The sequence below is a fragment of the Homo sapiens genome, chromosome 4 (assembly GCF_000001405.40).
Source record: "Homo sapiens chromosome 4, GRCh38.p14 Primary Assembly".
Lineage (NCBI taxonomy): Eukaryota > Metazoa > Chordata > Mammalia > Primates > Hominidae > Homo > Homo sapiens.
In genome coordinates, this window is record NC_000004.12 from 69,638,439 (window position 1) to 69,664,834 (window position 26,396).

Below are 26,396 nucleotides of genomic sequence, written 5' to 3' on the forward strand. Positions count from 1 at the left end.
TGAGAACCAGGGTAGAGTGTAAACTCCAGTTTTCTATTGCCTGATTCTATGCTTTTCAAAGCTTTCTGCAGACAAAGAAAATAATGAAGGACAAAGGAGGCATGGTAAATCATGTATCACCTCGAAAATATTTGCCAGGGTATTTTTCAGTAGTGTTATAATGTATCCTAATATGGGCACTTTCATTTATATTTTGAAATTGATTTATACATTGAAAAGCTATTACCTAAATGGACACAAAGTTGTTTGCATTAAGAGACAATAGCATACATATTAATACCACCATTTCATTGTTAAGGATTTATTCAAAGAGAATAATCAGGGAATTGTTTGTACAGAGATATAAGAAGTCCATTATCTTCAGCTCAGCATATGCAGTGGAATGGAAATCGTTTGCCATATGACAATAAGAATAAATAAGGGATGTGGAGTCATTAAAAAGAGAAAATTTTAGACTTACCTAAAATTTTGCTATAGTATGAATTCCATTCTCCCCAGTAGGACTGAAATATATAGTCTTGCAGAGAATAAGATATGGTATTTTTAATCCTTTCACCAAAGGTCATCTGGTCAGTGAGCTCTGATAAGGCTGCCGGTACATAGGAGACTGGTGCTGGGATTTTCCCACAGTGTCTCTCCACTGTTGATGCTGGAGAGAACCTCAATGTGTACATAAATGGAATTCCTAATTTCAGAGCAACAAGATCACCACAGATTGTTACTGGGTCTGCTACCAACACATCAAAACCACCTTTCTGAAGTCTTGCCATCAACTTTGGGTTCTTTAGTACACCATCACAGAGTTGTATGTTAATTTGAAAGAAAGTGTCTAGAAGTTTTCCTAGTTCTTTGTAGAAAGCCCATATTGTGAGAGGAGTTGGTCTATGGTCAATCCACAGCATTATCATATGCTCAATTAAGGAATCTATATTGCTCTTCTTGTAGGAAACAGGTATCACTTCAAAATTCACAGGAGAATCGGGATTGGAGTTGATGAATAGAGTTGCTGATGAAGCCAGTACAGTCACATTGTGATTTCTTTGAATCAACTCTTCTAGAATAATCTTAATATTTAACCAATGGCTACCATCTGTAGGCCAAATTAACACATTCCCACTTAGAACAACTTCAGTCAGAGTCAAATTAAAAACCAGCATCTGGACAAACTTCTTAGGCATGGTAAAATCCCTTATGGAAACCATCCTACTGTAGATCCTTCAAGATGAAAAAAAAATCTTCAAAGTATATTTAGGTCAATTTTTAAATAAAGTAATATTTAGTGCGATGGTTACACTCAGTCGTAGGTCAATTGATCTTTAGATTAAAAGGTAAATAATATAATTCAAATTCCTATATGCACTAACATCATTATTTCAGTAACAGAAATAAAATCTGGTTCTTTTTAAAGAAAAGGAAGCACGGGGTTATAAACCTACCATCTACATATTCTGTGATAATAACTATGATTTATAAAATACATCTTTAATATATTTTTCACTAAATTGAATAAACAACTTTCAGAGGAAGTTTGCTCAAACATTTCAAGGTGTTTTAGATTATATGGATTATAGGGTAAAATACTATGCATTTGATATAGAATAGCTTTCTTCTCCATAAAGCCAACTGATTGTTGTCTCCTATGCCTTTGTTACAGGGAATTTTTCAGTTTCTTCCATATGACACAGATCAAGAAGATATGGCCTGGAACTCCAAAGAATCACAGACTTTGTTATTCAGAGAAGTTAGGTAGACACTGGAGTTCAATAGACCCAGATTCAAATATTGTCCTTTTATAAGATTTCTGACACCGGGTAATTATTCAGACCCTCCCATTCTCAGTTTTCTCAAAGAAAAATGAGAGGTGAGACATTAATTTGTTATATTACTTTGTGGATTAACAATAGTATCTGTAAAGCTACTTTTCAATCTTCTTGGTACAGAGTAAGAGCGTAGTAATGTTAGCGGTTTAATAAATTTGTCCAAAGATTGATTAGGAAATCAGTAGGCCAGCTACAGAATGACTGGCTAGACTTGGATATAGTGAGATCAGATATGGATATAGTGTTGCAATTCTTAGTGAATCCCAAACTGAGCAATAGCAATTATGTAACAATGCTGTTTTGAAATCATTACAGGCTACCATTAAAAAGAGAAATAAGAACAAATAGAGTGATTAAAAGGATAAAAATCAAAAATTAAGATTAGAAAATAAGTGACAGATTTTAAGTTTATACTCAATTGCCCTTAAATTATGTAATTTCAGGCCCTTGAGTAACAAAAGAACTGGGAGGACAGAGAACAGGAAAGACAAGAGAGAGAAGTGATGGTTTTAGAATTTTTGCATTTGTGTCCTCTCAAGAATAAGCCTCAATTTGAATATAGTGGCAGTACCTTAAAAATTAATTAGATTTTTGAAACAAGGCAGCCAGAGAAGAGTGTAAATAATCTTAATGGTCTTCAAAATAAGCCCAGTAAAAGGGGTTTAAAAATCTTCATAAAGAAATCTGTTGCTGTCAAACTTTCAATAAAAAGTAAAGAAAGCAAAACATTATAGAAAACATGAACAAAAGTCTATCTATAAAATACTTAGATTTGTTCAAATATTGAGTTACATGTAAGAAAAATATAATAATTAATTAGGGATTACTCACAAATGTAGCTGCAATAGCACATAAAAGCTTATCAAAATATGCTCCAAAATCTCAATACATATAGATATCCCTAAATTACCCAGAGTAAGGGAAAAAATGATGATATTAGTCAACTTCCACTTTTACGTAATATCTGCAGGGCAATAAAATATTTACCTAATTTAGTGAAGAACAATAAAATGTATATAACGCTTTTAATTTGAGTTGATTATCCTTAAAACAACATTTTGTTTAGTAAAATGTATACAATCCTATTAGTCTGAATTGATAATCCTCATAGCAACATTTTGGTATGAAAGATTTTCTTTTCCACTGAAGACATGCCCTTGCCTGAAAGTCTTCTCTTCCGAAGTGCTCCCTGAATATTGCACCTGATGGCTAGGATTCAACTCTGCTGGCTCTTTTTTCATTGTCTCCCCAAGGCCAAAAAAAGCCTGGAAACCAGCTTTCATACTGTTTTGGGGATGAGTGATTCAGTTTTATTTGAGTTTCTTGATTTGTATTTACCTAATTCTCTAAAAGCTTAAATTTAGATGTACTTTTAGTTTTTCTTTGTTTTGCTAAACAGAAACAGTATATTCTAGCACTTTGCTTTTTACCTCAGAGTGGAGTCTGATATTAAATGATTCACCACTTTCTGAATTGTAACTAGGCAAGTTACTTAGCCTCCTCATTTAACAAATGATGAGAACAATGGCACCTATTTCCTATAGTTCTGGGTATGGTGTGACATAATGCAGGTAAATGATTCAGAACAGCACCTGGGCTCCATAAGTAATAGCTAGCTATGATATTTTAGGGAGAGAATCTTATTTTTTAAATGATCAAATTAATCCGATCTCATTACCTTGACCCTTCTCTACTCTTTCCCTCCTCCTACACTGACAGACTGGGGAATCTAGGGTTTGGTGCAGAATTTCTCAAACACTGAGAGTCTCCCCATAAGGCAGTCACTCTCAGTCTTTAGGCAGACCACAAGTGATAGGCTATTAACAATGCACAGAGTACCAAAATTTACAAATTATTTATTTTAAGAAATATATGCATATAAAACTCAAGATTATATCCACACAAATTGTAACTTCCATTTCCTTTTGTTCTGATACTCTCTCATGAGTGGGAGCGAAAAAGATAGAGTGATCACTATCTCTGAGAATTTCCAATGTCCCAATGTCAATTACATCTCCAATGTAATGCCGGTGGCTGTCATTCAGCTTATGGCTCATTGCAGAAAAGGGAATGATACTAGAAGATTTTTCAAAGATTCTAACCAATCAAGATCAATGTAAATTAAAACAGAAAAAGAAGAAGGAAGGAAGGAGAGAGGAAAGCAAAGGAATGATTAGTAAGAAAGAGAAAAAGAAAAAAAGGAAGACCTAAGTAGTAATGTATTATTCTACAGGAAAAGATTCCAGTGCATTTTTTCTTCTTTAAAATTACTACTGAAAATCAAGAATCATGGAAGGATATACACTTGAATGTGTTTCATTTCTAGCACTTTATTTTACATTAATTACTCATGCTTAGTGAGCCCACAGTTCATGCAAAGATCTAGATATTATGATCATTCTTTTTGAAAATCTAGATTTCTTATTTACTAGACTTGCTAAAGTATGTTATTATAGATGGCATTCATCTTAGAGATTATTCACCTAATTATTCATATATAATGTTATGTATTTTTACATATTATATACCTCTAATATATAGAGATTATTCACAAAAAAACCTTGTTTTTACAGTGGTTAAAGGGTAAAGTGCTGTTGGTAACAATATGTAATGCTTATGGATTATAAGTATTTTTAATGATAAAAATGTTACATTTTTCTCCCCTTAAATGTGCCCAGTTTTGGTGTTTTTTTTTAAATAAAAGTAAAAATGAAATACCTGGTTCCATTTTTTGAAATGCATAAAAATTCAAAAATTTTTTGAAGGTATACATTCGAAACTGTGGAACCCTTTACTTCCTTTCAGTTAGAGGTGACTTAGAAAGCTCTCCTAATGCCAAAAATATATCCCTAGACAATCCTCCCCAGACAACAGAATCACATGATGACCTACTCCTTAATGGATAGTAAATTATCTGGTGATACAATGGCCCAATTATATTCATTTGACAAATCAAAAATAGGCAAGAAATAGAATAGCAGATTTTAAAAGCTAAACACATTGAAAAGAAGAAAAGCGTTCAAGAAAAATTTAACCTAAAATATTCTGAACAGTTAATAGATTTGCACCTGAAATTTAAAAAGAAGGAAAAACAATTCCTAGAACAAGGAAATATGACATCAAAGCTTTGATATGAGAAAGATTTTCATTTGAATACTATTTTCTCATAATTTTAACATGTTTGATATTTCCAAGTCTCAATATTCTTTTCTGTGTTACAACTTTTTTCTTGCAATGAACTGCAACAGTTCAAGGATTGATAGAAAATATATGTAAATCACTTATCACAGTGGCTAGTGCATAGGAAGATATTAATATATACTGCTATCATTATTATGATATCCATGAGTTTGAGCTAAATGCCCATGATCTGAAATAAAATGAGTAATTTTACATTATAAATACCCAATTTCTACCAATTAGCAGAGATTAAGGACTCACTCTGACCTTCTTATTGCATTCCACTGCAGAGAAGTAAACTTAGGGAGTTGTTCTATTTATTTACTCAGGTGAGGCTGTTCGAGGCCTGAGTGGATATAAATTTGTTGCAATGATTTCATTAAAGAATTTTAAGTAAATATAGAAGATCAATTCAAATTACAAATTGGAAAGGAGTTATTTTTACAAGTCAGTTCCATTTATCATTCTCCTTTATCATTCTACATCCACAAAGACTTGCACAAAAATAAGTCACTCTGTCATGTCAATACTTTACTTCTTACCTGGTCTTTTAAATATGACTGTTCATGTTCCTGGCATCAGTAAGAATATTGTGTTTTAATAAAGACAAACTTAAGTAGTCATTCTAAGTCAGAAGAGGGTAATTTGATCAGAAACATGATATATCAAAATCAGAGGATAAGAACATCTTTAGAAATCTTTATTATGTTCCTCTGAACAAATTGTTAAGAAAGATTAGCCTCATGTCTTAAGACTGAAAGAATAGTGTGCTTTTATTACCAGCATTAACTTACAGGCAAAATAAAATGGAACATGTGATTCTGAGACTGCCAGCCTAGGTAAAGTAAACTAGTGGATAACTTCACAAATAAAGAGCATAGTAATCATGAAAATTAGAATTCCAAGGTTGATGATGAGCAGTTGACAAAACTGAAGTGGTAGGATTGAAAATGTAAATACAAATTGTGACCAAGAGACGGTCTATGTACATTCCGCTCTTATATGAACGGAGATGCTGCACATATTCAGAGTCCCTTTTAGTTTACCATACACCTGAGGATATGAAGGAGATTTTGCCATCTTGACAGTTTCATTGCTTCACAAAACTTCAATTTTTTTTCTCTGCTTTCTTTTAAGATCTAGTTTCAACCATAAGATGTTTCCCATTCACTTTTATCTTTATAGGACACTTGAAGGTTTATCTATAATCATTGTAGCAAGGCTTGTATTCTCTGAATGACAGAATAGCTAGCTCTTCTTTTACATCCCAAGATTTAAAGATCTGTTTTTGAATTTTGGGCCAATTACTTAACATACCCAGAGGAGGTGATGACTTTTGCTATCAGTGCTAATTATAATTGGTTTACCAGCTTTTGATAATAATCATTCACATGGCTGTAGTATCTCACATCCTCATTCACATACTAACCTATGCATATTTATTTTGATTGATACATATCAACTTTACAGTTGTTTTAGAACAGAGATCTGTAGAAAAGAAGCTAATGTGTCAGTAGGTATCACTACACAGAAATCTCACTTTTTCTTTTGCCAACATTCACGCAACCCACTGTTTTACACAGTGCACTTCGTCATCTTTAAATTATTTTTAATAGCATTTAGGATGTTCATTCATTAGCTAGTAAACATCTCTAGGCCTTACAAGCTCTGCTTAGCAAACATTACAGTCTCTGCAGTCTGTGCATTATTACTTTGTTATCAGTAACGAATGCACACAAATTAATGTGTCAATGTTAATAACCCATGAGATTACCTCTGAGATCTCATCCCGTATATCCAGCTGCTTACTGGATTTCGCCAAATATTCCCAAAAGTATCACATACACAGCATGTCCAAAATTCAATGCAATATTAATTTTTACTCTCCCATATTCGCTATCAGGGTTGATTGGGCCACACTATTCTAAAATCCTTTCAGATGTAAACTAATTTAGTCCTTTTAGTAGCCCTGTCAGAGATGAGATAAATGAAGTTCAGGTGCAAGGAGACTGAATTACTTTTCCCAGCCACAGACTGCTATGTGGATGTTGCCTGTAAGCACCTGCTCTCCCAATTGTGTTGCTAGGTAGTCTCATACTGCATTATTTTCCTCCATTTATCAGCTACTTCTGTAGGGCAGGCTCCTACCACATCTTTCCTAGAGTGATACATTAGTCTAGTCTCACACCTCTCAACTCTACTGCCACATCTGTCCAAGTGTTTTACGTAAAATGAAAATCAGGTCATAATATTTCCCTTTAGATGGTCCTGAATTGCTTATTAGATTAAAATGTTTTTAGAATGACATACAGGAGACTTTGAAATATTCATTGAATTAATTCACTCATTCTTGCGGTTCCGACGTCATTAGCATCTTCCTCCATGTCTCCCTACCTTACACTTGAACCTTCAGAAATACTAAATTATCAGAAATATCCATCGCACCTGTGCTGTTTTGTCTTCAACTTTGAGCACACTTTTCCTTCCCCATTCTTACCTTGCAGAAAAACTCACATTCAGTATTTTAAAATATCCTTATGCATTATCTGAACTCTGAAGTTTTTCAGAATAACTCACTCTGTCTGTCGCATAATACCTAACTCCTCTACATTTTGTATTTTGTATATATTTCCATATTTACATAATTCACATAATAAATATTCCTTTTAATGTCTGATTTATCTGTTTGTGAAATCCTTGAATCCATGGACTTTATTTTAGTCTTCCTATCTAAAAGAGTGCTTAGTAAAGAGTAAGAAATCTATAATTAATGAAGAATAAATGATAAAATTCAAAAGCATAAAAAATGGGCAAGGCCTGTTTGATTTTTAGACAAATATGTGTATAAATGTATCAACATGATCAATATAGGCTTTTATTCTAGTACCATTGATTATATTGTATTCATCAGGTAAACACCATATCACACTTAAGCAAATTAAATAAGCTTAGCATGGATAAATCACCCTGATCAATGGTTGTAGTTCACACCTTACAATTAAAGGTGATAAAGCCTTAATGTATTTTGTTTCTTTATGAGCCTTAATATTTATTAAGTGATGATCAGAGATTATCCACATATATGTATGTTCTTAAACGTGCATATTAATGTCTGTATTAATAATAAGCTTGTGGAAAGTTTAACATTTTCCGGCTTTCTCCACACATCACTGCAGTTTCTAGGCAATTTCTATTTTGAGCATAATTATCTACATGAGATCCAGCCCAACTTTTAAATTGAAGTATTTGTCACTATATTTTATCCATAAAAGAACTGAATTGATATATTTAAGTCCATGCAATTAGAAAACAACACACTGTACTTCTGAAGTACAATGTCTTTTATCTTCTTTTCTGCTATCAAGTGATAGTAATATATAGTACATCAATACTTGGAATTAAAAAAGAATAGACATAGGGAAATAAAGAAGAGGCTCTACAAAGGTCTGTTTGTTCAAATTCAAGTAATAAAAACAAAATTTGTTACATACCTAAAGCTTTACTATAGTATGAATCCCATGATTTCCAAAGAGTTTCAAACATGTAGTCCTGTAGGTGGTAGGAGATGAAATTTCTTATTCTGTCAGTGAAAGACATTTGGTCGGTGAGTTCTGATAAAACAGCAGGAACATAGGAAGGAGGGTATGGTACCTTCCCACAGTGCTTTTCCACTGTTGAGGCTGGAGAAAACCTCAAGGAGTACATAAATGGAATTCCAAGTTTTAAAGCTACTATATCGCCACAAGGAAATACTGGATCAGACACCAGGACTTCAAACTTGCTTTTCTTTAGCTTTGCCATCAGCTGTTGGTTTTTAAGAACGCCATCACAGATCTCCTGAGACACCATGTGGAAGTCCTTGATTACTTTGGCCATCTCCTGATAGAATCTCCAAATGGTTGAAGGAGATGGTCTATTTTCCAGCCATGTCAAAACGAAGTCCTTAATTACTCCTTCTATTCTTTCTTTGCCAAAGGGCACCTTATATATTTCAAATGTCAGAGATGGGTTAGAGGTTGGTGTGATGAAAAGTGCACCAGAGGCAACTAGGACAGTCACATTATGCTCCTTTTTAATGAGCTCATCTATAATTATCTTAACATTTAGCCAATGACTACCTTCCATTGGCCAAATCAAAACATTCCCACCAAGAGTGGTTCCTATGAGACTTATCTGAAGGGAGAACAGCAGAAGGTTGTTTAACATGATGTGGCTTGATGCAGAAGATTTGATGAGATGTGAAGCAAATGTTTTTCTCTGCTTTTAAAGAAAAAAAGGAAAGACAAAATTATTTCTCAATTTTGAGGCAAACCATTAATATCCTTAAAAGCCTTCTTTCTAGAAAGTGATACTAGTCATAGTAGCTCCATATTTTAGGATATTTACAGATTTATGGGTAATGTGTCTTACTTCTCAAATCTGTTGTTTTAATTTTAGTGTTTTAGTTATGATTCCTGCTGTCTAATCCTCCTTTTGAACTTGATACTCCAACCCTTTTTTGTGTGTTTCATAATTGTTACATTTTTACTATTAAATTGGATAAAGCTTCTGTACATCTCAACTCTACATTCAGGCCTAGGTATTGAAACCTCAGATAGGACCAAAACTCATTCAGAAATTTAAAGATGTTAATGCTGTAAGTTTTTAAATTTTTAATGCATGAATATAATTCCATTTATCACAATTAAACATTATAATAACAGTTACAATATATAAGATTGTCAAATAATATGTATAAATATATTACTATAAATATTTATAAATTCAAATATTTATAAATTCAAATAATACTTATAAATAATATGTATAACACATATAGTATTATATTACTACTTTAGTAATATGTTTACAAAAATAGTTTGTTAATCCTCAAGAAAATATTATAAATAAATGAATAAAATAAAATATGTGCAAGAGATTATAGGTAATGCTAGTAGTGAATAGGAGCTATTTAAGAGAATTACTAAGTCAAGCATACATCTACCAAAAGTGCTGTTCAAAAACTATCTAGCCTGCATGAAAAACAGCTACTTGACATCTAGATTCAGCCTTCAACAACTGCTAGCGTTTATTAAGTCCTTGTTATGTCAGACATTACGCAAACTCTTTAACACGTTAATTTCATTTCTTCCTTATTTTAAAAATTATCCAATTATGGATCTTTTATAATTACTCCCACATCAAAGAAAAAGAAACCACTGCCCAAAGAGATTGAATAATTTGCCATGTTCCTACAGCAAAATAAGAAAATATTACTTATTGGGTACAATGGAAATACAGTGTACACTACTTGAGTGATGGGTATACTAAAACCTCAGATTTCACCACTACACAATGTACCCAAACAGGACAACTGCACTTGAACCCCTAAATCTATAAAAATAAGAATAAATAAAAGATAGGAACTGCTGGTAGCAGTCTTAAGGATCTCTGACTCCCACAGCCTATTGTATTAACCACTGGGATAGATTGCCACATCAAAATGTATCACGTCCCCTTACCAACTAAGGAATCCATATGAATAGCAGCCTGCCAAAAGCATGCTAACACAATACAAAATTGTGTAACGCACATTGGATAATATCGGATCAAGTAATTCAAGTAAAGCGATCTCTGTGAAAATATTATGTTTGTATGCATATGTCTGTGAATAAGCAGAGTGATCCTTTTCATGTTAATAAATCTTCTGAAATTATAAATTCTATATTTTTAGTAATATCATAAAAATGTCTCTTCTAAGCTCTCCCATCACCAAAGATAATCTGTATGGAAACATCAACTGTTTCATTAAAACAATTACTTTTATAAAGTACTGTTCAAAGTTTAACAGAGTAATCATAAAATTCCTTGAGTGTATTTCCATTGAAGTTTCTCTGCAGAAGATGTTATGGTGTGCACAAAATTTTTGCCTTTCTGGTGTCAGTCTGGTTCATAGTGACTTGGCAAGAAACTTTAAAATAATTGTCATGATTCACTAGGATGTCATGATTCACTGATGTTATTTTCTTCTATTTATTTATTGGCAGGGAATCAGGTCCAGTTTTAGACAACTAAAATATAGTATTTTATTCAGGTGCTATTGAGAGAGGAGAAAGCAAGAAACCAGTTAGGCAGATAGTTAGAACAAGGTCCGTTGGTAAAATTCTTTTTAACAAAAGGGCAGCCTGAAGCTGCACAACCTTCAAGCACAGATAAACAGGCAAGGTCGACCCTAAAACACCCTTGTCTTTTGTAACCAGCAAAAGACATATACATATACATATACATGCTGTGGGCTTCAGTGAGCATGTTTCTTTCCTTTTTTGGACATAATCAGATAAAATAACTTACACAGTGGGGCTTGCCTACAACATGCCTGGAGGTGCACAGATAAGATTAGTTACACAGAACCAGACATGTCTGTAATGGAAAAGTCCATCTCCTGACACATGCGCAGTAAGGAAACAGGGTAATAAGGAGTAACTCAGGTTAAGGGCCTGCATGTGCATGAGAGGGAGTGGGTGGAGTTGTGAGAAATTCACACCTTTGCAAATAAAAATCTTTTTTTGTGTGCCATATGAAAATTAAACACCCCACCCCACTGGCTTGTTTATAAAAGCCTTTGTATTCAACTGAGAAATGGCAATCCTCTTGGGCCCCCTCTCTGCTGTGGAAAACTTTCCCCTTTCACTTATTAAACTTTCACTCCAACCTCACCTTTGATGTCCACGCTCATTAATTTTCTTGGTCCTAAGACAAAGAACTCTTGAGTAATACCTCAGATAGGGAGACTGCTCCAGTGACCCTGGGCTGCTTCACTATGTGTTTATTGGGTACCTACTATTCACACACAGCAGTACCTACTAGGTAGAAGAGGAATCCAGGAGATCTTTCTCATATTAATTTTATAGTCTATCAGTGGAAGATAAGAAAAATACATACATATCTGTGACAAAAATCACTGTAGTACATTATAGTCAGCAAGATATTAAAAACATAATTTAGATTTTAGAATAAATTAGGCCAAAGAATCCTAGCTTCACATTATGCTGCTTAATATTTATTAGACTCAATTTTCTCATATATAAAATGAAAATTAAAAACAACTTGAGTTTGAGAATATAAAGTAATAAAATAAAATAAACAACATATCTGTTAATAAATTAAAAATGAATATACAAAAAATACCATAAATTATTATGTAATAATACATACCACATATAAGAAAACTATATATTTAAATAGATACAATTGTATTTATTAAGCAACAAGTATATTACCTGGAGTAAAAGTGACGTTTAAAAATATACTATCTTTTTCATGTAATCCCTTCTCTTTCTCTTCCCTAGAGAAATTAACAAGGGCCTTCAGATGAAATGACATAGGTAAAGTGTTTTCAGAGATCTGTAGAGATTACTTCCAGCTTTTTGGGGGGATTAACGGTAGGGTGGAGGATAGGAAAGTCTTCATGAAAGGTATGATATTTGATATTCATGCTGAAGTATAGGCTACCTGGATGTGCATGACAAGCAGTGCGCAAAAAGGCAATTGCTGTTATGCCACTAATGAACTTTAGTGTTTTTAAATGTTTTCTATTTTAATTTTTGTGGAGTACATAATAGACGCATAAATTCATGTGATACATGTGATGTGCTGATACAGCATAAATACCTCAGAAATATGATCAGTATTAAAAAATTTCTCACACTAGTGAGGTTAAATTTTAGATTGATTTGTATTTTCGAATTTAATAGAAAACTAAATGAAGTTATATTCACAACAAAAGGCTTAAAGAGGTTGTTAAGTAAAAAGATTTGGCCTAAAATGTGGGTCTGAATTTGTGTTTGTAATTACTCTGATCTTAAAATCACTGAAAAGCTAATCTGCCCTTGCCAGAAAAATTTTGAAAGAAACACATTGTATGCCTGTATCAAAACATCACAAATATGTCATAAATATATACCTATATATACTATGTGCACATAAAATTAAAAATAAAAATAAACTGTGTAATATGATTACTATATTTGTGAAAGCTCATGAATTCAGAGAAAAAAACTAACGTATTTCAGAAGAAGCTAGCATACTCAAATATTTTCATCTTAGAGAATGATAATAAAATATATACTTTGCTTAATTGTGTTACAGGTAATTAGATAGGCATTAGGAATGTCAGGTGACAGTTCCATGATTATCACACTGCCTCTCTAAAAATGAGAATTTTGCAGCCAGTAGTGCCAGGGAGAGACAAGCTCTTTATGATCCACAGCTGTTAACATTAAAGTGTTAATTGAATGCAGATGCCAGAGAGGAGCGACTGCCTGGGCACGTGCATTAAGAGACAAAATGTTGAAGTGTGACCATCCAAGGACACTTTACCAAAAAAGGGAAGAAAGCCTCAGATGAGCATATATACAACTTCCTAAACAGACTGTGCATGCTCATTTCCCAAGGGTAAGAAGGGCACTGCACATGTGGGCAGCCCACCCTAAGGGAAGAATCATGGAAAAGAGGCGAGCCTATAAAGTCCTAGGATCGAGGTTAAACGGGGCACTTCAGGTGCCCACTTGAGTCTCTTCCAAGTACGTTTTCCTTTCTTTCCTGTTCTAAAGCCTTTAAAATAAACTTCCGCTCCTGCTCTGAAACTCCCGTCAGTCTCATCTGCCTGATGCCCCCCAGTCAAATTCTTACTTCTGAGGAGGCAAGAATTGAAGTTGCTTCAGACCTGTAAGGATTCGCCACTGATAACTCAGATGCCTTCTACTGGTTAACAACTGCATACAAAAGGAGTTAGCATGGCATTCACATTAACACAATTGGTTATTGCTTTTACAACAGCATTTTCTTTAGAAAAACTTTATGTCCTTTTTTTTTTTTTTTTTTGAGACCAAGTTTTGCTCTTGTTGTCCAAGCTGGAGTGCAAGGGCATAATCTCGGGTCACTGCAACCTCCATTTCCCGGGTTCAAGCTATTCTCCTGCCTCAGCCTCCCGAGTAGCTGGGATTATAGGCGACCACCACCACACCTGTCTAATTTTTGTATATTTAGTAGAGACGGGGTTTCACCTGGTCTTGAACTTCTGACCAGAGGTGATCCACCCTCCTCGGCCTCCCAAAGTGCTGGGATTACAGGGGTGAGCCACCGCGCCTGGCCATTATTTTCTTTTTTTAATAAATAAAATTGATTTTGCATAAAACTTATTTGATTTATAGCATAAAACATTTGACTTATATTTAAAGTAAATAGATTTTAAAATAAATATTTAAAAATCCATTAAACAATATTAAGAAAATAAAATACCCACTAAAGATGACATCTCACATCCTCTCATTCATGTGTTGTCTTAAGGACCACAGTGGTCACTTGTGTACATTATTCTTGTCTTCACCATATATCAGTATAAAGTTTCTTATTTGTCACTTTATGTGTCATCTAATGAAGGAACAAACAACTCTCCACTGGTAGGAACAAAAGGCATGAGAAGAATCCCTAAAGAGGACTTTGAGTTCACACTTAGACAAAACTCTCAACTTACTGCTCTGTCCACACAGTTCCCTCGATATCTGTAAAATTATTTTGAAGTATAAAATCTGGGAGAAAAATCCATCAAATTATAAAGTAGAACTAATAATGCTTTCATGGGTAAGCAATGAAACAAACCAAAAGGTAAACCAGCGTTTTAAAGATTGATATTTCTTTAAGAAGAGAATGGAAAATAAATTAAAATATACATTTTATATTGATTATCATGAAGTTTTCTAGTTTCTTACCTGAAGTTTCCTGGAGGAACTTTAACAGCACTCATTTGACATTAGGAAGAAGCCGAATGTAAATAAATCCTAGGTGGATAAGCATAATATAATGAGTAATATGATCTTAAATGGAAAAAAGATTATGTAAAGTTGTTTATACTTAACATTTTCCACCCACTACACTGTGAAGCAGATTAACCTTTTGTCAAAGGTGTAACCTTCTGTTGGTTCCCTAGCAACTATTTGCCCTGAATTTTGCATTTACTATCATGGTCTCTGCCCCTACCCCAACTAACCAAGTATGCCAGGATATATCTAAAATAAGATTGACAATAATTAGTAATCTTGAGATTGTTATGAATAAGTATGAGCAATTAATATCCCTCAAACTTATGAAACAAACAATTATTATATTATTATGAAAAAAGTTTTAAAAATTAAAATGTCTTTATTTTTATTTATATATATATATTTTCCTGATTCATGATGATGAAAGTGGGTGGTTTGATTGATCTTTGCCATAAATAAAGAAGATAGTAATTTAGATAATGAAATAACTTTTTTAGAGTTGCACACCTTCATTATGCACCATCCTTGGGGAATAAAATTACTGCTGTTTCTTTGTGCAAATATTTTGAAGTAGCAAAAAATAACTTAGTATGTTTTTTGGCATAGCATCCCAAATATGTCATATTTAGTAATAACTAAGTACTGAGATAGAACATCACCACTTGTTGTTTTTGCTGATAAGCAAACTTATGGAAATGTGGAAATAAATTTCATACAGCTGATAAGTATGGCATAGTCCGGCAGAGACACACTTTGTATGATAACATTGAAGAGGAAATAAAGAAGAACAGTGGAGGCCCCAAGCAAGTCTTTAAGTTCAAGTCAGCTTGGATTGCATACATCTGACTACAAATATTCATCAATTCATGGAGTGCAAGTTCAATCTTGATAAAAGAGAAGTAATGTGTGTGTTTCATACAATGATTTCTCCATTTTGAATAGCTAATGTAATTAACTTCTCAGCTAAATAAAATGAGTCTTCATGCAAATATTTCAACATGAGCCCTCAAATAGAAACTTTTCTGAGTCTTTACACTTGCAGTAATATATCTTTTGCCTTCACACTTGGAACACAGCATGGGTGTTAATTAATATTTTTAATTCCTGTAGTTTTCACTCAAATCTATTTGATCATACTCTATTATCTTTTTATAATCCCAGTCACAAATACACACACACACACACACACACACACACACATTCCTTTTAAGCCAAATAATTGATAACTAATTTTTTTTTAAAAAAGCTTCTTTTCTGTTTGGTTCTCTGTACTGTAAAATTTATATCAAATATATTAACTGTAATATAAAAGTTTTTTTGCTTGTCCAAGATTTTTACTTGCTACAGGTGGTTAAATTTCTATCTAGGACAGAATGAGCAAAGCCAGTAACTGAAAATATTGAACAGCATGATTCCCAACTAGACAAAAGAGAGACTCGAAATAAGAAAAATTTATAATGAACACTGGACACAGTAGGCCTGAAGACTCCCTATGATTCCAATATATTTCTAGGTGTAAAAGATTACTGTTATTCTACTCACCCTCCCATGAAGACTAACAGGCTTCATGGGACTAACTCTATAACAAGAAAATATTTTAAATTGGTGAAGCTTTTCTTGGAAATGACTCATTTTACCCAATTCAATGACAACAATTTTCACCACTTATAATTAATGAGAAATACTGAATAAAGTATCATCAACTTCAAGGTTAACCAATAAACTTCTTTGTAAAACAACCATATTTCATACCATGTATGATAATAATTTTTATCAATGTTTAAAAAGCATTTTGAAAAATTCATGTCAAATGTTTTCTTTTCATTTTAATTTCTGAGTTATTTTTCCTATGTGTATCAGTTGTGTATTGCTGTGAAAAAAGTCACTTCAAATTTAGTAGCTTCAACCAACAATCATTTTATTTGCTACCAATTTTTTGGGTGAGAAGTTTGTGCTGGGCTCAGTTGGACAGTTCTACTGATTTCCCTGTATATACCTCATGCAGCAAAAGTCATCCTGGTGGTTCTATGTGATGGTTAATTTTTGTATCGACTTGGCTGGATGATAGTCCCCAGATATTTGGTCAAACGTCATTCTAAATATTTCTGTCTATGTGTTTTGGGAATGAGATAATATTTTACTGGATTATTCTTCACAATGCGGGTGGGCCTCATCCAGTTAGTTGAAGGCCTTAATAGACAATAATTGACATCAGACCTAAGTAAGAAGGAATTCTGCCAGCAGACTGCTTTTGGACTCAAATTGCAACTCTTCCCTGAGTCTCAAGCCTGCTGGCCTACCTTGCATATTTTGGACTTACCAAGCTTCCACGACTGTATGAAGCATTTCCTTAAAATAAATGTACATATCTGTCTCTCTACACACATACATATATACACACTCTCACACACATCCTGTTGGTTCTCTTTCTCTGGAGAACCCTAACACACTCCACTCAGACAGATTGTCTAAGGTGGCTTCACTTAAGTTTTGGATATCGACTCTTGCCGTCACTCTCTTGAAACAATGTTCTTAGACTCTCATGTAAAGAAACTCCATCTAGCTGCACCCTGGCACTGTCCCAAAAAAGTGAGGATAATACCTGCAAGGTTTCTTAAGGATTATGCCTTGAAGTCATATTTTACTTCTGTAGAGTTCTATTAGATCAAACAAGTTACCTGGCCAAGCCTAGGGTCATAGTGGGAGAATTTTGAGGGCCATATGGCAAACAGCCCACCATACAATACATTCTCAAATGGCTTCTCAAATTTTACATTCTTGTGAATGATTCTCTCTTCTTGTGATTAATTTTACACACATTACTTCAATATAAATTTTTATCTCATTGCATTTTCAGTTTTTTTGTAATTTCACATTTATGGTACTCTTACAATGTGCCATGTGCTATTCTAAGTATTTTATGTAGATTAATTTAATTCTTACAACAACCTTTTGAGGTAGGTAATACTATTTTGTTCCCATTTTCAGATGAAAATGCCAAGGCATAGAAAGCTTATGTAACTTGCCCAGTAACACTCAGAGACTTAATGTCACAACCAGTACTTAAATGTATACTATCTGACTACAGGGTATGCATGCTTAGTCATAATGTTATTAAAATATCATTTGTGATGACTGAGGCATCATGGCAGATAGGAGGCAGGACTAGATTGCAGTTCCAGACAGAGCAGGAGACAGAGGCTTGCACATTGAATTTTAGCTCCAGATCGACTGCAAGAGCAAACCGGTAATCCTGAGAGGACCCACAGATCCTCTGCCGGAAGCAGACTGTTTCTGCAGGACCAAGGAGACACCACAGATACTGTGGGTGTCCCAACTGCAGAAATTGGAAAGGGAGACCCTTCTCTTCCAAACACACACCCCACTGGAGAAGCTGTTTCTGACTTTACCTGGAGCTGAGTCAAGTTAGAGAGCTGAGCCAAGTGAAATACAGGGGTAGGGGAAGTAGCGGAAAGACCCTGGGAGCTCGCTGGGTCCCCCAAGCAGCCCATACCTGCCTGGCACCACAGGGATCCACTGGGAGGTTGGCCAGAGAAGTAGGGGGTAAAATACCACAGGCAGAAGGAATTCTCTAGCTAAACTCTGTAACAATTTGAACGGGGCATGAAGCCTCCTGGCCAGTACTTCAAGGAGGGTGTGAATCCAGCATGCAGACCTCACAGGCAGGGGGGAAAACTAAAGCCCTTTTCTTTGGCAGCCGGGAGGTGGAAAGCCTCAGGCAAGTTTTCAAGCAGGGCTCACCCTCCACCTGGAAACAGACTCCAGGTTGTTGAGGGGGACACGGTGGGAGTGAGACTGGCCCTTCAGCTAGCATGTGAACTAGGTGAGGCCTGTGACTGCTGGCTTTCCCCTACTTACCTGACAACCTACATGACTCAGCAGAGGCAGCCGTACTTCTCCTAGTGTGTCCGGAATTGGTGGGTTCTTGGTCTCGCTGTCTTCAAGGATGAAGCCGCGGACCCTCACGGTGAGTGTTACAGTTCTTAAAGATGGTGTGTCCGGAGTTTGTTCCTTCTGATGTTCGGACGTGTCTGGAGTTTCTTCCTTCTGGTGGGTTCGTGGTCTCACTGACTTCAGGAATGAAACTGCAGACCTTCGCGGTGAGTGTTACTGTTCTTCAAGGCAGCGCGTTTGGAGTTGTTAGTTCCTTCCGGTGGGTTCATGGTCTCACTGGCTTCAGGAGTGAAGCTACAGACCTTTGCAGTGAGTGTTACAGCTCTTAAAGACGGCGCAGACCCAAAGATTGAGCAGCAGCAAGATTTATTGTGAAGAGTGAAAGAACAAAGCTTCCACAGCGTGGAAGGGGACCCCAGCTGGCTCGGATGGCCTGCTTTTATTTCTTTTTTTTTTTTCTTTTTCTGACTATGTAAGTATCACATTTATTATTTTAAAATAAGAAATGCACAAAGATGGCAAAATAATTTGGAAATTATTTCTAATTCTACCATGTATAAATTATCACTGAATATTTCGGTAAACATTCATCCAGAGTTTATATTAATACAAATACACACACACACACACACACACACACACACCACATCCTGCTGATTGGTCCATTTTGACAGAGTACTGATTGGTGCATTTACAAACCTTTAGCTAGACACAGAGCGCTGATTGGTGCATTTACAATCCTTTAGCTAGACACAAAAGTTCTCCAAGTCCCCTACCAAATTAGCTAGACACAGAGTGCTGACTGGTGCGTTTACAAACCTTTAGCTAGACACAGAGTGCTGATTGGTGCATTTACAAACCTTTAGCTAGATACACAGTGCTGATTGGTGCATTTACAAACCTTTAGCTAGACAGAAAAGTTCTCCAGGTCCCCACCTGACCCAGAAGCCCAGCCAGCTTCACCTCTCAATGGCACTCACTGTGGGACTTTGCAGCACCTAGCCCGGGCACTCTGGCAGCCCAGAGGGAGCTCGTTCCCTGATCAAGCCCAGCAGGCTCTGACCAGCTGCACCCGTGGAGTCCACGCCCACTGGGAACCCGTGCCGGCCCACAAGCACCACAAGCAGCCCTCGCTCCAGCCTGCTCCTCTCCCTCCACACCTCTGTGTGAGCAGAGGGAGCCAGCTCTGGCCTCAGCCAGCCCCAGAGAGGGGGCCCCCACAGCACAGTGGTGGGCCAAAGGGCTCCTCGAGCTTGGCCAGAGCAGACGCCAAGGCCGAGGAGGTGCCGAGAGCAAGTGAGGGCTGCTGGCACGTTGTCACCTCTTGCTAGGTACACAACTCCAGTGACCTGGGAGTCTCACTCCCATCTCCAACAGCAGCTGCAGCAAGACCCGCCCAAGGAGATGCTGAGCTCGCACACACCTATACTACCCCCACCTGATGGGCCTTCCCTATCCACTCTGGTAGCAGAAGACAAAGGACATTTAATCTTGGGAGTTCTGGGGTCCCATCCACTGTGGGTATCTCTTCACACTACTACAGCTGATGCTTTCTGGAAAGTGCCATCTCCTGGCAACAGGCCAAGCAGCACAAAAATGATCATTAAACCACCAAAGCTAGGACCCTCACAGAGTCCAATGCACCTCTGCCACCTCCAATGGAACAGGCACTGGTATCCACAGCTGAGAGACTCATAGATGGTTCACATCACAGGACTCTGCAGACAACCCCCAGTACCAGCCCGGAGCTGGGTAGACTCACTGGCTGGCTAGACCCAGAAGAGAGTTAACAATCATTGCAGTTGGGCTCACATGAAATCACATCCACAGGAAAAGGGGGAGAGTACTACATCATGAGAACACCCTGTAGGACAAAAAAATCTGAACAGCAACCTTTGGCCCTAGACCTTCCCTCTGACATAGCCTACACAAATGAGAAGGAACCAGAAAACAAACCCTGGTAATATGACAAAACTAGGCTCTTCAACACCCCCAAAAAATCACACTAGCTCACCAGCAATGGGTCCAAACCAATAAGAAATTCCTGATTTACCTGAAAAAGAATTCAGGAGGTTAATTATTAAACTAATCAAGGAGGCACCAGAGAAAGGTGAAGCCCAATGCAAGGAAATCCAAAAATATGATACAAGAATTGAAGGAGAAATATTCAAGGAAATAGACAGCTTAAAGAAAAAACAATCAAAAATTCAGGAAACTTTTGGCAGACTTTAAGAAATGTGAAATCCTCTGGAGAGTCTCAGCAATAGAACTGAACAAGTAGAAGAAAGAAATTCAGAGCTCAAAGACAAGGTATTTGAAGTAACCCAATCCAACAAAGACAAAGAAAAAAAGAATAAGAAAATATGAACAAAGTCTCCAAGAAGTCTGGGATTATGTTAAACAACCAAACTTAAGAATAATCAGTGTTCCTGAGGAGGAAGACAATTCTAAAAGCTTGGAAAACATGTTTGGGGGAATAATTGAGGAAGACTTCCCTGGCCTTGCTAGAGACCTAGACATGCAAATACAAGAAGCATAAAGAACACCCAGGAAATTCAGTGCAAAAAGATTTTCACCTACACACATTGTCATCAGGTTATCCAAAGTTAAGATGAAGGAAAGAATCTTAAGAGCTGTGAGACAGAAAAACCAGGTAACCTATAAAGTAAAACCTATCAGGTTAACAGCAGATTTTTCAGCAGAAACCCTACAAGCTAGAATGGATGGGGCCCTATCTTCAGCTTCCTCAAACAAAACAAGTACCAGCCAACAATTTTGTAGCCAGCAAAACTAAGCATCATATATGAAGGAAAAATTCAGCCATTTTCAGACAAACAAATGCTGAGAATTTGCCATTACCAAGCCACTGTAAGAACTGCTAAAAGGAGCTGTAAATCTTGAAACAAATCCTGGAATCACATCAAACAGAACATCTTTAAAGCATAAGTCAGACAGAACCTATAAAACAAAAATACAAGTTTAAAAGCAAAAACAAAAAAAACAAAAATAACCAAAGTACACAGGCAACAAAGAGCATGATGAATGCAATGGTACCTCACATTTCAAAACTAACATTGACTGTAATTGGCCTAAATGCTCCAATTAAAAGATACAGAACCTCAGAATGGATAAGAACTCACCAACCATCTCCTGCCTTCAAGAGACTCACCTAACACATAAGGACTCATATAAACTTCAAGTAAAGTGGTAGAAAAAGACATTTCATGCAAATGGACACCAAAAGCAAGCAGGGGTAGCTATTCTTATATCAGACAAAACAAACTTTAAAGTATGAGAAGTTAAAAGGGACAAAGAGGATCATTATATAATGGCAAAAGGCCTTGACCAGCAGGAAAATATCACAATTTTAAACATATATGCACTTAACACTGGAGCTCCTAAATTTATAAAACAATTATTAATAGACCTAAGCAATGAGATAGAGAGCAACACAATCATAGTGGGGGACTTCAATACTCCACTGACAGCACTAGACAGATCATCAAGACAGATAGTCACCAAGGAAGCCATGGATTTAAACTACACCTTGGAACAAATGGACTTAATAGATAGATAGATAGATAGATAGATAGATAGATAGATAGATAGATAGAACATTTCATCCAACAACTGCAGAATGCACATTTTATTCAACAGTGCATGGAATTTTCTTCAAGTTAAACCATGTGATAGGCCATAAAATAAGCCTCAATACATTTAAGAAAATTGAAATTGGAGTTTGCTGGAGGTCCACTCCAGATCCTGTTTGCCTGGATATCACAAGTGGAGGCTACAGAACAACAAATACTGCAGAATGGCAGATGTTGCTGCCTGATCCTTCCTCTGGAAGCTTTGTCTCAGAGGGGCACCTGGCTGTCTCAGTCAGCCCCTACTTAGAGGTGTCTCCCAGTTAGGCTACTTGGGGGTCAGGGACCCACTTGAGAAGGCAGTCTGTCCGTTCTCAGATCTCTAACTCCATGCTGGGAGAACCACTATTCTCTTCAAAGCTGTCAGACAGGGATGTTTAAGTCTGCAGAAGTTTCTGCTGTCTTTTGTTCAGCTATGCCCTGCCCCCAGAGGTGGAGTCTACAGAGGCAGGCAGGCCTCCTTGAGCTGCTGTGGGCTCCACCCAGTTCGAGCTTCCTGGAAGCTTTGTTTACCTACTCAAGCCTCAGCAATGGCAGACACCCCTCTCCCAGCCTCACTGCTGCCTTGCACTTTGATGTCAGACTGCTGTGCTAGCAGTGAGCAAGGATCTGTGGGCAGGGGACCCTCCAAGCCAGGTGCAGGATATAATCTGCTGGTGTGCCATTTGCTAAGGCTGTTGGAAAAGAGCAGTATTAGGGTGGGAGTGTCCCAATTTTCCAGGTACCGTCTGTCTCAGCTTCCCTTTGTTAGCAAAGGGAATTCCCCAACCCCTTGCACTTTCTGGGTGAGGTGATGCCCTGCCCTGCTCCGTGGGCTGCACTCACTGTCTGACAAGCACCAGTGAGATCAACCCAGTACCTCAGTTGGAAATGCAGGAATCACCCATCTTCTGCATTGCTCACACTGGGAGCTGCAGACTGGAGCCGAGGGTCCTGACTGTTAGAAGGAAAATTAACAAACAGAAAGGACATCCACACCAAAACCCCATCTGTATGTCACCATCATCAAAGACCAAAGGTAGATAAAACCACAAAGATGGGGAGAAACCAGAGCAGAAAAGGTGAGAATTCTAAAAATCAGAGCGCCTCTTCTCCTCCAAAGGAACACAGTTCCTTGCCAGCAACAGAACAAAGCTGGACGGAGAATGACTTTGATGAGTTGAGAGAAGAAGGCTTCAGACAATCGGTAATAACAAAATTCTCTGAGCTAAAGGAGGATGTTCAAACCCATCACAAAGAAGATAAAAACCTTGAAAAAAGATTAGACGAATGGCTAACTAGGATAACCAGTGTAGAGAAGTCCTTAAATGACCTGATGGAGCTGAAAACCATGGCATGAGAGCTAGGTGATGCATGCACAAGCTTCAGTAGCCGAATCGATCAAGTGGAAGAAAGGGTATCAGTGATTGAAGATCAAATGAATGAAATGAAGTGAGAAGAGAAGTTTAGAGAAAAAAGAGTAAAAAGAAATGAACAAAGCCTCCAAGAAATATGGAACTATGTGAAAAGACCAAATCTACATCTGATTGGTGTACCTGAAAGTGATGGGGAAAATGGAACCAAGTTGGAAAACACTCTGCAGGATATTATCCAGGAGAACTTCCCCAATGTAGCGAGGCAAGCCAACATTCAAATTCAGGAAATACAGAGAATGCCACAAGGATACTCCTCAAGAAGAGAAACTCCAAGACACATAATTTTCAGGTTCACCAAAGTTGGAATGAGGGAAAAAATGTTAAGGTCAGCCAGAGAGAAAGGTCGGGTTACCCACAAAGGGAAGCCCATCAGACTAACAGTGGATGTCTCGGCAGAAACTCTACAAGCCAGAAGATAGTGGGGGCAAATATTCAGCATTCTTAAAGAAAATAATTTTCAACCCAGAATTTCATATCCAGCTAAACTAAGCTTCATAAGTGAAGGAGAAATAAAATCCTTTACAGACAAACAAATGCTGAGAGACCTTGTCACCACCAGGCCTGCCCTAAAAGAACTCCTGAAGGAAGCGCTAAACATGGAAAGGAACAACCAGTACCAGCCACTGCAAAAACATGCCAAATTGTAAAGACCATCAATGCTAGGAAGAAACTGCATCAACTAATGAGCAAAATAACAAGCTAACATCAAAATGACAGGGTCAAATTCACACATCATAATATTAACCTTAAATGTAAATGGGCTAAATGCTCCAATTAAAAGACACAGACTGGAAAATTGGATAAAGAGTCAAGACCCATCACTGTGCTGTATTCAGTAGACCCATCTCACGTGCAGAGACACATATAGGCTCAAAATAAAGGGATGAAGGAAGATCTACCAAGCAAATGGAAAACAAAAAAAGGCAGGGGTTGCAATCCTAGTCTCTGATAAAACAGACTTTAAACCAACAAAGATCAAAAGAGACAAAGAAGGCCATTACATAATAGTAAAGGGATCAATTCAACAAGAAGAGCTAACTATCCTAAATATGTATGCACTCAATACAGCAGCACCCAGATTCATAAAGCAAGTCCTTAGAGACCTACAAAGAGACTTAGACTCCCACACAATAATAATGGGAGAGTTTAACACCCCACTGTCAACATTAGACTGATCAACGAGACAGAAAGTTAACAAGGATATCCAGGAATTGAACTCAGCTCTGCACCAAGTGGACCTAATACACATCTACAGAATTCTCCACCTCAAATCAACAGAATATACATTCTTCTCAGCACCACACCACACCTATTCCAACATTGACCACATAGTTGGAAGTAAAACACTCCTCAGCAAATGTAAAAGAACAGAAATTATAATAAACTGTCTCTCAGACCACAGTGCAATCAAACTAGAACACAGGATTAAGAAATGCACCAAAAACTGCACAACTACATGGAAACTGAACAACCTGCTCCTGAATGACTACTGGGTACATAAAGAAATGAAGGCAGAAATAAAGATGTTCTTTGTAACCAACGAGAACAAAGACACAACATACCAGAATCTCTGGGACACATTTAATGCAGTGTGTAGAGAGAAATTTATAGCACTAAATGCCCACAAGAGAAAGCAGGAAAGATCTAAAATTGACACCCTAACATCACAATTAAAAGAACTAGAGAAACAAGAGCAAACACATTCAAAAGCTAGCAGAAGGCAAGAAATAACTAACATCAGAGCAGAACTGAAGGAGATAGAGACACAAAAACCCCTTCAAAAAATCAATGAGAGGGGAGGAGCCAAGATGGCCGAATAGGAACAGCTCCGGTCTATAGCTCCAAGCGTGAGCGACACAGAAGACGGGTGATTTCTGCATTTCCATCTGAAGTACCGGGTTCATCTCACTAGGGAGTGCCAGACAGTGGGCTCAGGTCAGTGGGTGCGCGCACCATGCGCGAGCTGAAGCAGGGCAAGGCATTGCCTCACTCGGGAAGTGCAAGGGGTCAGGGAGTTCCCTTTCCGAGTCAAAGAAAGGGGTGACGGACACACCTGGAAAATCGGGTCACTCCCACCCGAATATTGCGCTTTTCTGACCAGCTTAAAAAACGGTGCACCACGAGATTATATCCCGCACCTGGCTTGAAGGGTCCTACGCCCACGGAGTCTCGCTGATTGCTAGCACAGCAGTCTGAGATCAAACTGCAAGGCGGCAGCGAGGCTGGGGGAGGGGCGCCCACCATTGACCAGGCTTGCTTAGGTAAACAAAGCAGCTGGGAAGCTCGAACTGGGTGGAGCCCACCACAGCTCAAGGAGGCCTGCCTGCTTCTGTAGGCTCCACCTCTGGGGGCAGGGCACAGACAAACAAAAAGACAGCAGTAACCTCTGCAGACTTAAATGTCCCTGTCTGACAGCTTTGAAGAGAGCAGTGGTTCTCCCAGCACGCAGCTGGAGATCTGAGAATGGGCAGACTGCCTCCTCAAGTGGGTCCCTGACCCCTGACCCCCGAGCAGCCTAACTGGGAGACACCCCCCAGCAGGGGCACACTGACACCTCACACGGCAGGGTATTCCAACAGACCTGCAGCTGAGGGTCCTGTCTGTTAGAAGGAAAACTAA

At 37.3% G+C, this 26,396-nt stretch overlaps 2 protein-coding genes across 7 annotated transcripts in view, besides 1 other annotated feature; both read right to left on the reverse strand.

Annotated features, from left to right (window-relative positions):
* Window positions 1-1,204, reverse strand: part of UGT2A2 (UDP glucuronosyltransferase family 2 member A2) — a 51,226-nt gene extending 50,022 nt beyond the window's left edge. For both annotated transcript variants that reach the window (NM_001301233.1, NM_001105677.2), the window contains exon 1: window positions 461-1,204. In NM_001301233.1, the coding sequence (NP_001288162.1) occupies window positions 461-1,202 (742 nt within the window). In that variant the 5' untranslated portion in view covers window positions 1,203-1,204. The remainder of the gene's footprint in view (window positions 1-460) is intronic.
* UGT2A1 (UDP glucuronosyltransferase family 2 member A1 complex locus) overlaps window positions 1-14,809 on the reverse strand; it is a 64,831-nt gene extending 50,022 nt beyond the window's left edge. For 3 of the 5 annotated variants that reach the window (NM_001301239.2, NM_006798.5, NM_001252275.3), the window contains exons 1-2: window positions 14,750-14,809; window positions 8,492-9,260 (exon numbers count right to left, since the gene is read on the reverse strand). In NM_001301239.2, the coding sequence (NP_001288168.1) occupies window positions 8,492-9,206 (715 nt within the window). In that variant the 5' untranslated portion in view covers window positions 9,207-9,260; window positions 14,750-14,809. Of the gene's footprint in view, window positions 1-460; window positions 1,091-8,491; window positions 9,261-14,749 lie in introns of all 5 variants that reach the window. The other 2 variants (NM_001252274.3, NM_001389565.1) reach the window with 1 other exon arrangement.
* Window positions 17,886-19,085: an enhancer, noted in NCBI's record as "MED14-independent group 3 enhancer chr4:70522042-70523241 (GRCh37/hg19 assembly coordinates)". NCBI's record gives its function as "activates an origin of replication core promoter dependent on BRD2, BRD4, P300/CBP and CDK7 cofactors, and independent of MED14, by STARR-seq in HCT116 cells {active_cell/tissue: HCT116}" and the evidence as "EXISTENCE:reporter gene assay evidence [ECO:0000049][PMID:35650434]".